Source organism: Homo sapiens, chromosome 14 (genome assembly GCF_000001405.40).
Source record: "Homo sapiens chromosome 14, GRCh38.p14 Primary Assembly".
Taxonomy (NCBI): domain Eukaryota; kingdom Metazoa; phylum Chordata; class Mammalia; order Primates; family Hominidae; genus Homo; species Homo sapiens.
Genome location: NC_000014.9, coordinates 31009735 through 31023642, shown reverse-complemented (window position 1 = coordinate 31023642; position 13908 = coordinate 31009735). Strand labels below are relative to the sequence as shown.

Sequence of the window (13908 nt, the reverse complement as noted above, 5' to 3'; positions counted from 1 at the left end):
AGACAATCTAGAAATAAGACAACTTACATATTATTATGTACAGTCTCCAGTGCACTGTCATGTACACAGATTTTTAAAGTGTTAATTATTGAATAGTTTCAATAGAGAACGTGAAGAGCTTAAGGAATACCCCATATTGATGTAAAATTTTAATGGGGAATAATATTTTCCCTGGCTTTGGGAAAGATATTAAAAGGAACTTTACAGTATGATTCTGTTCTCTGTAAAAAGAATTTAGAGTAAAGGTCTGTCTTAGAAACTTGGAACCAAACTAAAGGATCACATCTTAAAGCTCTTCTGTCTCTGATTCTTCCTTACCTTAGACTCAGGTAAAGCATTGTTAGTAAGGTCATAGGACAGTGGTTTCTTAACTTTTATATAACATGAATTACCAAAATTCCACAGACAGTCCATTTTCTTCAAGCCCTAGATCAATCCAGATCTCCAGAGGATAAGAGGCCTGCATATTTTTTAGAGTTCTACAAGTGATTCTTTCTTCACAGTAGTGCCTGTTAAAGAGAAAAATTACTACACTACACTTTTCTTTTTTGTAATTTCATAGTAGATTCATTAAAATCTTGTCATGGAAAAGACACTAGGATTTGCAAATTACTATTCCAGACCAGCTTTTGAAAACCCTGAAAATGGAAAATTCAGGAGATTCCCCCCTTAAAAATGAAGAAATCAAGTAAGTCTAAGCAAAATATCTCCTACTAACTTAAGGATCTTTAAGCAGCAACATCTATCATGTTACGACTTCTAAAAGTTAGAAACTGCCATTTAATCAGCACTATAACCTCATGAGGTGAGTATTCCTGTTTTACAGGTGAGGAGACAAATTTAGGTAGGTTAAATCATTTTGCCAAGGTCACCTAGCCATAAAGTATTGCAGCTGAGATTTGAACCCAAGTCTGTCTGATTCCAAAGCCTGTAGTCATGTTACCACTCTTGTAACCATTATGTTATACTGTCTTAGCTCTTTTTTATAGAGTGGAATCTGACTTGTAATTCTTCATCTAGTATTGCGTGGCCCACACCACTTGAGTACATTTCAATAAAGTTTTATTGAGCGCCTGTGATGCTGCTGCAAGGCATAGTTTATATATATTGCTAATGTGTCCTTATATTTTTCTTTATAGTTTGTATGTAGTAAGTGGATTTTGGGTATATACAAAATGCTTGTTTGCCAAGTGTAAAAATATGACATAGCTAATACAAGAAAATGTAGTCAAAGAGTTTATGTTCTTTTTTTTTTTTTTTGAGATGGAGTCTCGCTCTACTGTCGCCCAGGCTGGAGTGCAGTGGCACCATCTTGGCTCACTGCAAGCTCTGCCTCCCAGGTTCACGGCATTCTCCTGCCTCAGCCTCCCCAGTAGCTGGGACTACAGGTGCCTGCCACCACGCCCAGCTAATTTTTTTGTATTTTTAGTAGAAATGGGGTTTCACCGTGTTAGCCAGGATGGTCTTGATCTCCTGACCTCGTGATCTGCACACCTTGGCCTCCCAAAGTGCTGGGATTACAGGCGTGAACCACCGCGCCCGGCCGACAGTGATTTTTCATAAAGGTGTTCCCTTTGTTCTGGGATTTTTAGCCTTCATACATTTTTACTGTTAGGCATTTCCTTTTTCAGATGATGGTGATAATAGTTAAAAAAATTTTATTGATAGTATTAAGGGAGTCCACTACCTTGTGTCAGATTCCCTGTTTCTTTTTGAAGCCCTTGAAATGAAGTTTAGGGACCACTGATCTAGAATTCTCTTTATGCTCCTCCACTACCCATTAACCCCACTCTGTAGTCTGCCTTTTCGCTTTCTTCTCTCCTCCCTTCTAAACACTTCGTAGAACACTATGTTTTCTGTTCATGATTGACCTTCAAATTGCCAAATCCTTTGGCCTTATAAACCGTATGTACTTAACCAACACTCTGTTGTTAACAAATCCTTCAAAACTGTTTTCTTTTGCTTCCGCTCTGTTTTTCCTGTCATCCACTTATCACTTTTCTTCATATGTTTTCTTTCTTTTGTTCCCAGTTGTTATTATGTGGGGTTCTGGTTCTATTTTATGTTCTCACTGTATATTCAGAATCAGATTTTTAGCTACCATGTACCATCTTAATAATACCTAGCATTTATTTACTCTTTCCTAATTGTTATTTCAGTGCTTCAGTATTTCAGTATTCATTTAATTCATTCAGTATTCATTTAATTCTCAAAACAACTCAGTGAGGTTGATACAGGTATAATTGGTGTCTTTTTTTTATTTTTTCTGACACTGGCATATCGAGGCCCAAAGGTTAAGTAATCTATGCAACTAGGAGGCAGTAGAACTGGGATTTAAACTTAGACTGCCTGTAGAGGCCATGTTCTTAACCACTACTAGATTTTTGGCGTCCAGATGTCCCTTGTATTTCTAACTTCCGTTTAGTTTTTCTACCTCAAATTCAATACATCCATTCAGTTAATCTCAAGTGCCTGCCTCTTTCCCTTGACAAAACACACTTGCTCATTCTTTATTCCTTGCCACATTAAAGTTAACACTATCCTCCCCATCGCTAGTACTATAGAGGTCATTGAACCTTCCCCCTGCGTATGGCCTGTGAGTTTTATTGATTCCAGCATGATTATTTGGTGATATTTGAGTGCGATTTTGTGCTAGATCCTGGGTGTATAATGATGTATGAGACACAGACTTTGTCCTCAGGGAGCTTATACTCTAGAAATAATTTTTTTTTTTTTCAAGAGAGCGTCCTACTCTGTTGCCGAGGCTGGAGTGCAGTGGTGCCAACATGGCTTACTGTAGCCTCAGGCTCCCGAGCTCAACTGATCCTCCTGCTGCAGCCTCCCGAGTAGGTGGGACTACAGACATGGACTATCACACCAAGCTGTTTTTATTTTTAGTTCAGGTGGGTTCTCAGTTTGTTGCCCAGGCTGGTCTTGAACTCCTGGGCTCAAATGATTCTCCCACCTCATCCTCCCAAAGTCCAAGTATTGGGATTACAGGCATGAGCCATCATGCCTGGCCAATAAAATGTTACAACAAATTAGCAGAATGCTGAGAGAATAAATGGTGATAGGAAACCTGTATATGTAATGGAGTTTCAGATAATACCTAATATTTATTGAGCACTTTCTTTTTTTTTTTTTAGAGACAGTTTTCGCTCTGTCACTCAGGCTGGAGTACAGTGGTGCTATCTCAACTCACTGCAACCTCCACTTCCTGGGTTCAGGCAGTTCTCATGCCTCAGTCTTCTGAGTAGCTGGAATTACAAGCACCCACCAACACGCCCAGCTAATTTTTGTATTTTTTGTAGAGATGGAGTTTCACCATGTTGGCCAGGCTGGTCTTGAACTCCTGACCTCAAGTAATCCGCCTGCCTTGGCCTCCCAAAGTGCTAGGATTACAGGCATGAGCCACTGCGCCTGACCTATTGAACACTTTCTATATGGTTGACATTATTTTTGGTTCTTCAGTACATTTAATTCTCATAAAGTTCCTAAATGTATACTTCTAGATCTGAAGTATCGGGAATACCTAATTGTACAAAGAACATGCCAGTTGGAAGCTACAGCATTTAGCAGAAGTTCTAAAGTAGGAAAGAGCTTCATTTAAACTGTGAACTGGCCAGGTGTGGTGTCTCACGCTTGTAATCCCAGCGCTTTGGGAGGTTGAAATGGGAGGATCACTTGAGCCCAGGAGTTGGAGACCAGCCTGGGCAACAGTGAGACCCTGTATCTAAAAAAGAAAAAAAAAAAAAAGAAAATGAGTGAACTGGACTATAATGATTCAAAAGGCTAAGTAATATAGGTAACATCAGTATCCTAAAGTATATTCTAATTCACTGATGCTTGATTTTTTGGGGGATTGTATAGTCCCCTTTGCATATATTATGAATGCTGTGGAGCCTCTTCTAGTTTTTTTTCAAAAAAGGTAAGAAAATTTTGCTTAGAATGCCCATGAAGCCTGACTGCTGATCTAAGGAAGTAACTGATTCAATCTGTGCTTTTTGTTTCTGTACTAATACTGCCTTAGTTCAGAGTACTCCTCCTGCCAGAATTCTTTGAGATAATCTCCTGACAGGTTTGTTTCATCCATTGCCCCTCTTAACAGTTTATCCTTTTTATCATAAAGACAATTGTATTATATATAACCCTCCTTTAATTTTTTTATGAAAAGTTTCAAACATGTAAGAAAATAATATAGTATTGTGACCTCCCACAAACGTGTCACTCATCTTAAACAGCAACGACTCATGATCAGTCTTGTTTTACCTGTACTTCTATCCATTCATTGTCCATTCCAAATTATTATTTTCTATTATTTTATTTATTTTTAAGAGACAGGGTCTCACTATGTTGCACAGGCTGGAATGCAGTGGTGCGATCGTAGCTCACTGCAGCCTCAAAACTCTTGGGTTCAAATAGTCCTCCCACTTCAGCCTCCCAAATAGCTTGGACTATAGGCACGTGCTACCACGCCTGGCTAATTTTTTTTTTAGTAGAGACAGGGTCTTTCTATGTTGTCTAGGCTGGTCTTGAGATCATGGCCTCAAGTAGTCCTCCTACCTTGGCATCTCAGGAGTGCTGGGATTAAAGGCATGAGCCACTATGCCTGGCATGCCTCAGCCTCCAGAGTAGCTGGGATTATAGGTGTGCCACCATGCCCGACTAATTTTTTGAATTTTAGTAGGGATGGGGTTTCACCATATTGGCCAGTCTGGTCTCAAACTCCCGACCTCAGGTGATCTGCCCACCCTGGCCTCCCAAAATGCTGGGATTACAGGTGTGAGCCACTATGCCCTGCCTAAATTTTCTTTTATTCTATTAGTGCTTGAAGTTACTGAGTTCTGAAGTTGTTGAGCTTCTCTCTGCTTTGCTATTGATTTGAGCAAGTTCGGAGCACCATGGCCCTCATCTTCGCATTTTACGCTTTTTTTGCAAGTTTATCAACAAGCTCAATTAAACCACCAACTGTTTTCTGAAACTGGCCAGTTTTGTCCGCAAAGTTCTTGCACTCTTCTTTGAGCTCTGTGGTCTGCTGGGTAACCTCTGAGTCCAACACCCACAGCTTGTTCAACTCATCAAAGTGCAGTCCCTCTTCAGCCAGGATGTCCTTTACCATAGTTGTTTCGCATCCAAGTTCCCTAGAGAAGCTCTGCTCTGAAGGAGTGACGGTGACAGTCAGGAGGAGGTGTGTCATAGGAACAAGGGTCGAGAAAGAATAAAGTTCGCTTGCTTGTCACAGGTATTGTTCATTCAACACACATTTCTTTGAGTGCCCACTACATGCCAACACTGCTAGATGCTGGGGGTACAGAGATGAATGCAACATGGTGCCCACCCTGCTGGCCCCGTGGCAGCAGCTTACTATGGCCCAGGCTGATGTAGACTGGCAGCTTCTCCCCATCACTGGTAGCTGGTATGCAGGCAGCCTGCCTCGGCTGTTGCCATGACTACAGAGACTCTTTACCCATGACCTGAAATATATTTTTATTAAGGTTTTTTTTTTTTAACAAAATGGTTTTAAATTTATTTAAATTAATTTCCTTTTTTTTTTTTTTTAAATTGAGGCAGGGTTTCATTTTGTTGCCCAGGCTGGAGTGCAGTGGGCGCAATCCCGGCTCACTGTAACCTCCGCCTCCCAGGTTCAAGCAATTCTCCTGCCTCAGCCCCTTGAGTAGCTGGGATTACAGGCATGCACCACCATGCCCAGCTAATTATTTTGTATTTTTAGTAGATACGGGGTTTCACCATGTTGGCCAGGCTGGTCTTGAACTCCTGACCTCAAGTGATCACCCGCCTTGGCCTCCCAAAGTGCTGGGATTTCAGGTGTGAGCCACCGTGCGCAGCCTAAATAACTGTGTATGCTCGCTTTTGTGTGTATACACTCACTGCCCCTCATAAGACAATTTAGGTTCACAGCAAAATTTAGCAGAAAGTACAAGTAGTCTCCTACCCCAAAGTTTTGCCTTTTCCAGAATACATTCATATACCTTCCCATGGTATCCTTGGGGGAAATTTGTTCCAGGGGTTCTCCTCCAGGATACAAAATCCTCAGATGCTCAAGTCCCTCAATACAATGAGTTTGTAACTTATGCACATCTTCCTGTATATTTTAAATCTCTAGATTACTTTTTTTTTTTTTTTGAGACGGAGTCTCGCTGCGTCGCCCAGGGTGGAGTGCAGTGGCGCGATCTCGGCTCACTGCAAGCTCTGCCTCCTGGGTTCACGCCATTCTCCTGCCTCAGCCTCCCTAGTAGGTGGGACTACAGGCACCCGCCACCACGCCCGGCTAATTTTTTGTATTTTTAGTAGAGACGGGGTTTCACCTTGTTAGCCAGGATGGTCTCGATCTCCTGACCTTGTGATTTGCCTGCCTTGGCCTCCCAAAGTGCTGGGATTACAGGCGTGAGCCACTGCGCCCGGCCTAGATTACTTATATAATCTAAATGCTATGTAAATAGTTGTTACACTTTTTAAAACTTTTTATTTGAGACAGGGTCTCAGTCTGTCACCCAGGCTGGAGTGCAGTAAAACAATCACTGCTCACTGCAGCCTTGATCTCTGGGTTCAGGTGATCCTCCCACCTCAGCCTCCTGAGTAGCTAGGACTACAGGCACCCGCCACCACACCTGGCTAATTTTTGTATTTTTTCTAGAGACAGAGTTTTGCTAAGTTGCTGAGGCTGGTTTTGAGCTTCTGGGCTCAAGCTATCTGCCATCCTTGGCCTCCCAAAGTGCTAGGATTACAGGTGTCAGCTACTGCACCTGGCTAGTTGCTATAATTTTTAAAAATTATTTTTTGGCTGGGCGCAGTGGCTCATGACTGTAATCCCAGCACTTTGGGAGGCCAAAGCGGGTGGATCACAAGGTCAGGAGTTTGAGACCAGCCTGGCCAATATGGTGAAACGCCGTTTCTACTAAAAATATAAAAGTTAGCCAGGTGTGCTGGCACGTGCCTGTAATCCCAGCTACTTGGGAAGCTGAGGGCAGGAGAATCGCTTTAACCCGGGAGGCGGAGGTTGTAGTGAGTCGAGATCGCGCCACTGCACTCTAGCCTGGGCGACAGAGCGAGACTCTGTCTCAAAATATATATATATATATTTTTATTATTTTTCTGGAATATTTTTGCCTTGCCATTGTTTGAATCTGTGAATGGGGAACCCTTGGATACAGAGGGTTGCCTTAGTTTGAATCGTATAATATGTAGCCTTTTCACTTAGTAGCAGTGTATTTAAGGCTTCTCCTTGTCTTTTCTATGGGTTGATTATTTCTTTTTAGTGCTGAACAATATTCCATTTATGGATGTGCTACAGTTTGTTCACCTTTTGGAGGGTATCTTGGTTACTTTCAAGTTTTGACAATTATGAGTAAAGGCTGTAAACATCCATGTGCAGGTTTTTGTGTGGACGTATAAGTTTTCATGTAATTTGAGTAAATACCAGGGAGTGTGATTGTTGGATCATATGGTAAGATTATATTTAATTATGTAAGAAACTGCCACATGATCTTCCAAAGTGGCTGTACCATTTTGCATTCCCACCAGTAATGAGTGAGAATTATTATTGCTCCCCTTTCAGCTTTTGGAGTTGTAGTGATTTGGATTTTAACCATTTTGGTAGTTATGCAGTGGTATCTCACTGTTTTTAATTTACATTCCCCTAATGAAAAACAGTATTGAAGCCAGGCATGGTAGCATGTGCCTGAAGTCCCAGCTACCTGGTGGAGGAGTGAGATGGAGGATTGCTTGAGCCCCAGAGGTTGTGGCTACGGTGATCCATGATCACCCCACTGCACTCCGGCCTGGGTGACAGAGTGAGTCCCTGTCTCACAAGGTTCTGTAGAGGCCTGCTGGGAACAGAACTGAACTTCTAAAAGTAAATGTCTTGGCAGCTGCTTTCCAAGGCCTGGCTATAAGTAAGGTCTGCAGAGCCAAAAGGAGCATACAGCTCTTCTTAAAATTGAAGGTGTTGGCTGGGGGCACGGTGGCTCATGCCTGTAATCCCAGCACTTTGGGAGGCCAAGGCGGGTGGATCACCTGAGGTCAGGAGTTCGAGACCAGCCTGGCCAGCATGGTGAAACCCTGTCTCTACTAAAAATACAAAAAATTAGCTCGGTGTGATGGTGCATGCCTGTAGTTCAGCTACTCAGGAGGCTGAGACAGGAGAATTGCTTGTACCTGGGAGGCAGAGGTTGCAGTGAGCCTAGATCGTGCCATTGTACTCCAGCCTAGGTGATGAATGAAACTCCGTCTCAAAAAAAAAAAAAAATTGAAAGTGTTTAAGCCCAAGATGAAACTGAATTCTATTTAAGAGTTGTGCTTATGTGTATAAAGCAAAGAATAACATAGGCAAACGGAACAAAACTATAGTAATTGGGGAAACGCAACTCATACCTGTGGAAACCAGTGGCATGGTTTGTGTCAAATTCTGAAGCAGCCTTCCTGGTAAGGCTACTGGACACAGAATACCCTTCAAGGAAACTAATGAAAAGTAAATAAATAAAAGTGGGTGTGAGGCTGGACGCGGTGGCGCTCACGCTTGTAGTCCCAGCACTTTGGGAGGCCAAGGCGGGCGGATCACTTGAGGTCAGGAGTTTGAGACCAGTCTGGCCAACATGGTGAAATCCTGTCTCTAGAAAAAAATACAAAAATTAGCCGGGCATGGTGGCGCATGCCTGTAATCCCACCTACTTGGGAGGCTGAGGCAGGAGAATCGCTTGAACCTGGGAGGTGTAGGTTGTAGTGAGCAAAGATTGCACCATTGTACTTTAGCCTGGGTGACAGACTGCAGCCTGGGCAACAGAGTGAGACCCTGTTTTTTTTTTTTTTTTTAAAGTGGTTTTGTGTTCTTGTAATGAAAAAGAAAAAAAGGTTAAAAAAGGATGTGCTTTTGACCAATATATAATGCTGTTTCAAGGTAGTACCAGTACCTTGTGTTCAGTGGAACCAAGGTAAACACAAGGTATTGGTATTACCTTGAGATAGCATTACACCTAAGTGGTTTCAGTGAACAAGATTTAAAAGACTAGAATTAAAGCAATTATAAATGTAAAGTAAAATTTTGGACTACTTTTAGATAGACTTTATAAACAGACGTAAAAATTCCTATTAAAAATTTTGCACTTTGGCCGGGCGCAGTGGCTCACGCCTGTAATCCCAGCACTTTTGGAGGCTGAGGCAGGTGGATCACAAGATTAGGAGTTCGAGAACAGCCTGACCCACATGGTGAAACCCCGTCTTTACTAAAAATACAAAAATTAGCAGGGTGTGGTGTCAACGCGCCTGTAGTTCCAGCTACTCGGGAGGCTGAGGCAGGAGAATCACTTGAACCCGGGAGGCGGAGGTTGCAGTGGGCCGAGATCACGTCACTGCACTCCAGCTTGGGCAACAGAGCAAGACTCTGTCTCAGAACAGCAACAACAACAACAATTTTTGCACTTTCAGGACACTTACAGGCTCCTTCCTATAATCCCAGCACTTTGGGAGACCAAGGCAGGAGGATAACTTGAAGTCAGAAATTCAAGACCAATCTGGGCAACAAAGTGATACCCTGTCTCTACAAGAAATTTAAAAAATTAGCTGGACACAATGGTGTTGTACCTGTAGTCCTAGCTACTCGGGAAACCGGGACGGGAGGATCGCTTGAGCCCAAGGGGTCAAGGCTGCTGTGAGCCATGATCTCACCACTGCACTCTAGTCTGGTCAATAGACTGACACTCTGTCTCAAATAATAATAATAATAATAATAATAATAATAATAATAATAATAATAATAATAATAAAATTGCTTTGAGAAGCCAAGGCAGGAAGATTGGTTGAGGCCAGGAGTTCGAGACCAGCCTGGGCAACATAGTGAGACCCCCCCCGTTTCTACAGAAAAGAAAAAATTTAGCCAGACATAGTGACATGCACCTGTATTCCTAGCTTTGGAGGCTCAGGGGAGAGGATTGCTTGAGCCCAGGAGTTTGAAGTTGTAATGAGCTATCATCACACCACTGCTCTTCAGCCTGGTAAAAGACTCTGTCTCTTTAAAAAAAATTATATTTTGAATAAGTAATATGTGGTTCAAAATTAAGTCTTATACTCACCATGATCCTGTCTACCACCCCCCACTGCCAAGTTAGTAATCGACTACTTTTTTTTTAGTCTGTGTGTGTCCCTCTCTAGTGTTTTTTATGTAGGTAGATGAAAGCAAATGTTTTCATCCTTTTCTGGTACAATGTGGCAAACTATATAACCTATTTTTCACTATAATTTTTTTGTTTTTTTTTTGAGATGGGGGTCTCACTCTTTTGCCCAGGCTGGAGTGTGGTGATGCGATCTTGGCTGGCTGCGACCTCTATCTCCTGGGCTCAATTGATCCTCCCACCTCAGCCTCGCAAGTTTGGAACTACAGGAACCTGCTTCCACACCTGACTAATTTTGTTGTTGTTATTGTTTTGTAGAGATGGGGGTCTCCCTGTGTTATCCTCCCACCTCAGCCTCCAAAGTTTGGGACTACAGGAACATGCCTCCACACCTGACTAATTTTGTTGTTGTTAACTGTTTTGTAGAGATGGGGGTCTCCCTGTGTTATCCAGGCTGGTCTTGAACTCCTGAGCTCAAGCATTCTGCCCACCTCAGCCTCTCAAAGTGCTGGGATTATAGGCATGAACCACTATGCCCTCCCTACTTTACTTTTTCATTTCACATGTTGAGAGATCATTCCAAACCTGCTAATAGAGAGCATCCTTACTTTTTTTTTTTTTTTTGAGACGGAGTTTTGCTCTTATTGCCCAGGGTAGAGTGCAGTGGCACAATCTCAGCTCACTGCAACCTCTGCCTTCAGGTTTCAAGTGATTCTTCTGCCTCAGCCTCCCAAGTCACTGGGATTACAGGCGCCCACCACCACACCCATCTCATTTTTTTGTATTTTTAGTAGAGACGGGGTTTCACCATGTTGCTCAGGCTGGTCTCTAACTGCTGACCTCGTGATCCACCCGCCTCGGTCTCCCAAATTGCTGGGATAACAGGCGTGAGCCACCGCGCCTGACCCTACATCCTCACTTCTTTTTAACAGCTGCATAGTATTTTGTGTAGATAGGCCAAAGTTGATCCACCTAATCCACTATTGCTGGACAGTTGTGTTAAATTTTCATAAAACGTTTGTAGCTGTGTTCTTTCTTAAATGTGTGAGCAGTCAGTCTTGCTGCCTCAAACTCTGTTGTGTTTCCTTTTTGTTGCTGTTGTTAAGAGTTGTTAGCAGTTGTGGAAAGTTTAAAATTTTGTGTGACACTTTATTTCATGGCTTGCATTTAAATCTGAACTTAGGATGTTTTTGCTTTGAAAGCTGTTAACTGGGGCTTGCTTTTATTTAAGTTATCTTTCACTGAAATCCTGGAGAATAGAGAATGAGAAAGAAAACAAAGATAATAGGATGAAGTGGGTTGAAAGAGAAATAATATGAGAGAGTAACAATGGATAAGGGTAACAATATGACACTGATAGATATCTCAGATAACAAAAACATTTCACAGTGGCCTGGAATAGTATTTGTTGTGTTGCTTTTTTGTTTTCTTTTTTTTGAGACAGAGTCTCGCTCCGTCGCCCATGCTGGAGCGCAGTTGCGCGATCTCGGCTCACTGCAACCTCCGGCTCCTGGATTCAAGCGATTCTTCTGCTTCAGCCTCCCAAGTAGCTGGGATTACAGGCGCCTGCCACCATGCCCAACTAATTTTTTTTTATTTTTGGTAGAGACAGGGTTTCACCATGTTGGTCAGGCTGGTCTCCGACTCCTGACCTCAGGTGGTCCTCCCACCTTGGCCTCCCAAAGTGCTGGGATTACATCCGTTAGCCACTGCCTCAAAAAAATAAAAAATAAATAAATAAAAATAAATAAAAAGGGTTGGGGATTGAGATTCTAGCCTCTGTTTTTATGAATCTTTCTATTTTACATATGTAACTGCTCCCTGGTCATTTCCTTGTTAGCACTTAACATGTTTTGCAATTTTATTTTATTTTTTTGAGACACAGTCTCGCTCTGTCGCCCAGGCTGGAGTGCATTGGCATGATCTCAGCTCACAGCAACCTTCACATTCCAGGTTAAAGCAATTCTTGTGCCTCAGCCTCCTGAGTAGCTGTAATTTCAGGCGTGTGCCACCACGCCCTGTTAATTTTTTGTATTTTTAGTTGAGACGAGGTTTTGCCATATTAGCTAAGCTGGTCTCGAACTCCTGTCCTTCAGTGATCCACCCGCCTCGGCCTCCCAAACTGCTGGAATTACAGGTATGTATACCCAGTTTGAGAGTAAAGGGTCTGGCACATAATAGATGTCTGCCAAATATTTGCTAAATAAGTGAAATTGCTGAGGACATCTCATTAAAATGTTAGAGATGAGAGCTTGACTTACAATTTCTGTGGTGTGTATATACTAGGAGAAAAAGTCCACCGGATGCAGAAAAAGTCCACAGGATAGAGTAAATTAATACTCTTTGTCAAGCCCTCGTTTGATCCTGGAATGAAAACAAACTTTCTGGGTTTTATTAGATTATAATTTTGTCTCCCCTCCCTGTCATGGGAAATGGAGTATCAGAGAAATCACTTCAATTAAAATGTTTGTTTTGTTTTTGAGACAGAGTGTTGCTCTGTCACCCAGGCTGGAGTGCAGTGGCGCAATTTTGGCTCACTGCAACCTCTGCTGCCTGGGTTCAAGTGATTCTCCCACCTCACCCTCCTGAGTAGCTAGGATTGCAGACATCTGCCACCATGCCTGGCTAATTTTTGTATTTTTAGGAAAGACAAGGTTTCGCCATGTCGGCTAGGCTGGTCTCGAACTCCTGACCTCAGGTGATCTACCCGCCTTGGCCTCCCAAAGTGCTGGAATTACAGGCATAAGCCAGCACATCTGGTACTTCAGTTAAAATGAATCATTGCCTGAGATTAATGCACTGTGGGGCGGGGGCTACTTTATCCCTTTGAAATGAATAAATTTTATGAAGAATGTTTAATGACTATGCAATGCTTATGGTAAACTAAAAATAAGTTTTGTGTGCCATAAATCAGCTATATGAAAAAAGTACGTTGAAAAAGTTCAGATATTTTTAAATACTTTGTGATTTTTTGGTGATGGGATTATTGGAAACATTTTTCCTTATTTTAAAAAAATGACCCACCAAACATTATAAAGTAGATTATTTTCTTTTATTAAAATTGATAAGTTTCAGGAGTGAATTCTTTATGCCAATACATAGTCATTGTTGAAAAAATAGTTATATGGGGTGGGGGGAGGGGGGAGGGATAGCATTAGGAGATATACCTAATGCTAAATGACGAGTTAATGGGTGCAGCACACCAGCATGGCACATGTATACATATGTAACTAACCTGCACATTGTGCACATGTACCTTAAAACTTAAAGTATAATAATAATAAAAAGAAAAAATAGTTATAAAACAAAGCAAATATGTTAGTTTTAATGAATTTATAGACTAGTTTGTCTTTTTCCTATTTCCTTTTTTACTGATTTCTTCTTTTGTTTTTTATTTTACTTTTGTTTTTTAGAGACAGGGTCTCATACCGTCACCCAGGCTTGAGTTCAGTGATGCTATCAATCATGGCTCACTGTAGCTTTGTCCTTCTGGGCTCAAGCAATCCTCCTGCCTCAGCCTCCTCAGAAGCAGGGACTAGAGGCATACGCCATCATGCCCAGCTACTTAAAAAATTTTTTTTTCATGGAGATGGTGTCTCAGTATGTTGCCCAGGCTGGTCTTGAATACCTGGTCTCAAGCAATCCTACCACCCCAGCCTCCCAGAATGCTGGAATAACAGGCATGATATCAGCACCTGGCTTCTTTTTTACTGATTGTTTAGAAACTGTCAAATATGCTTTATTACTTACTAAGATTTTATTTTATGATGTATTTAAATTTTTT

At 41.9% G+C, this 13908-nt stretch overlaps 1 protein-coding gene, 1 non-coding gene and 1 pseudogene across 5 annotated transcripts in view; 2 read left to right on the top strand and 1 right to left on the bottom strand.

Moving 5' to 3' along the window:
• Positions 1–13908, top strand: part of STRN3 (striatin 3) — a 132576-nt gene that overhangs the window by 2737 nt on the left and 115931 nt on the right. The gene's annotated exons all lie outside the window — the stretch shown is intronic.
• Positions 4806–5471, bottom strand: LOC100913082 (intraflagellar transport 20 homolog (Chlamydomonas) pseudogene; annotated as a pseudogene).
• Positions 8901–8997, top strand: MIR624 (microRNA 624). Its single transcript, NR_030354.1, has one exon. It is a non-coding gene; the product is annotated as a microRNA 624 (primary transcript).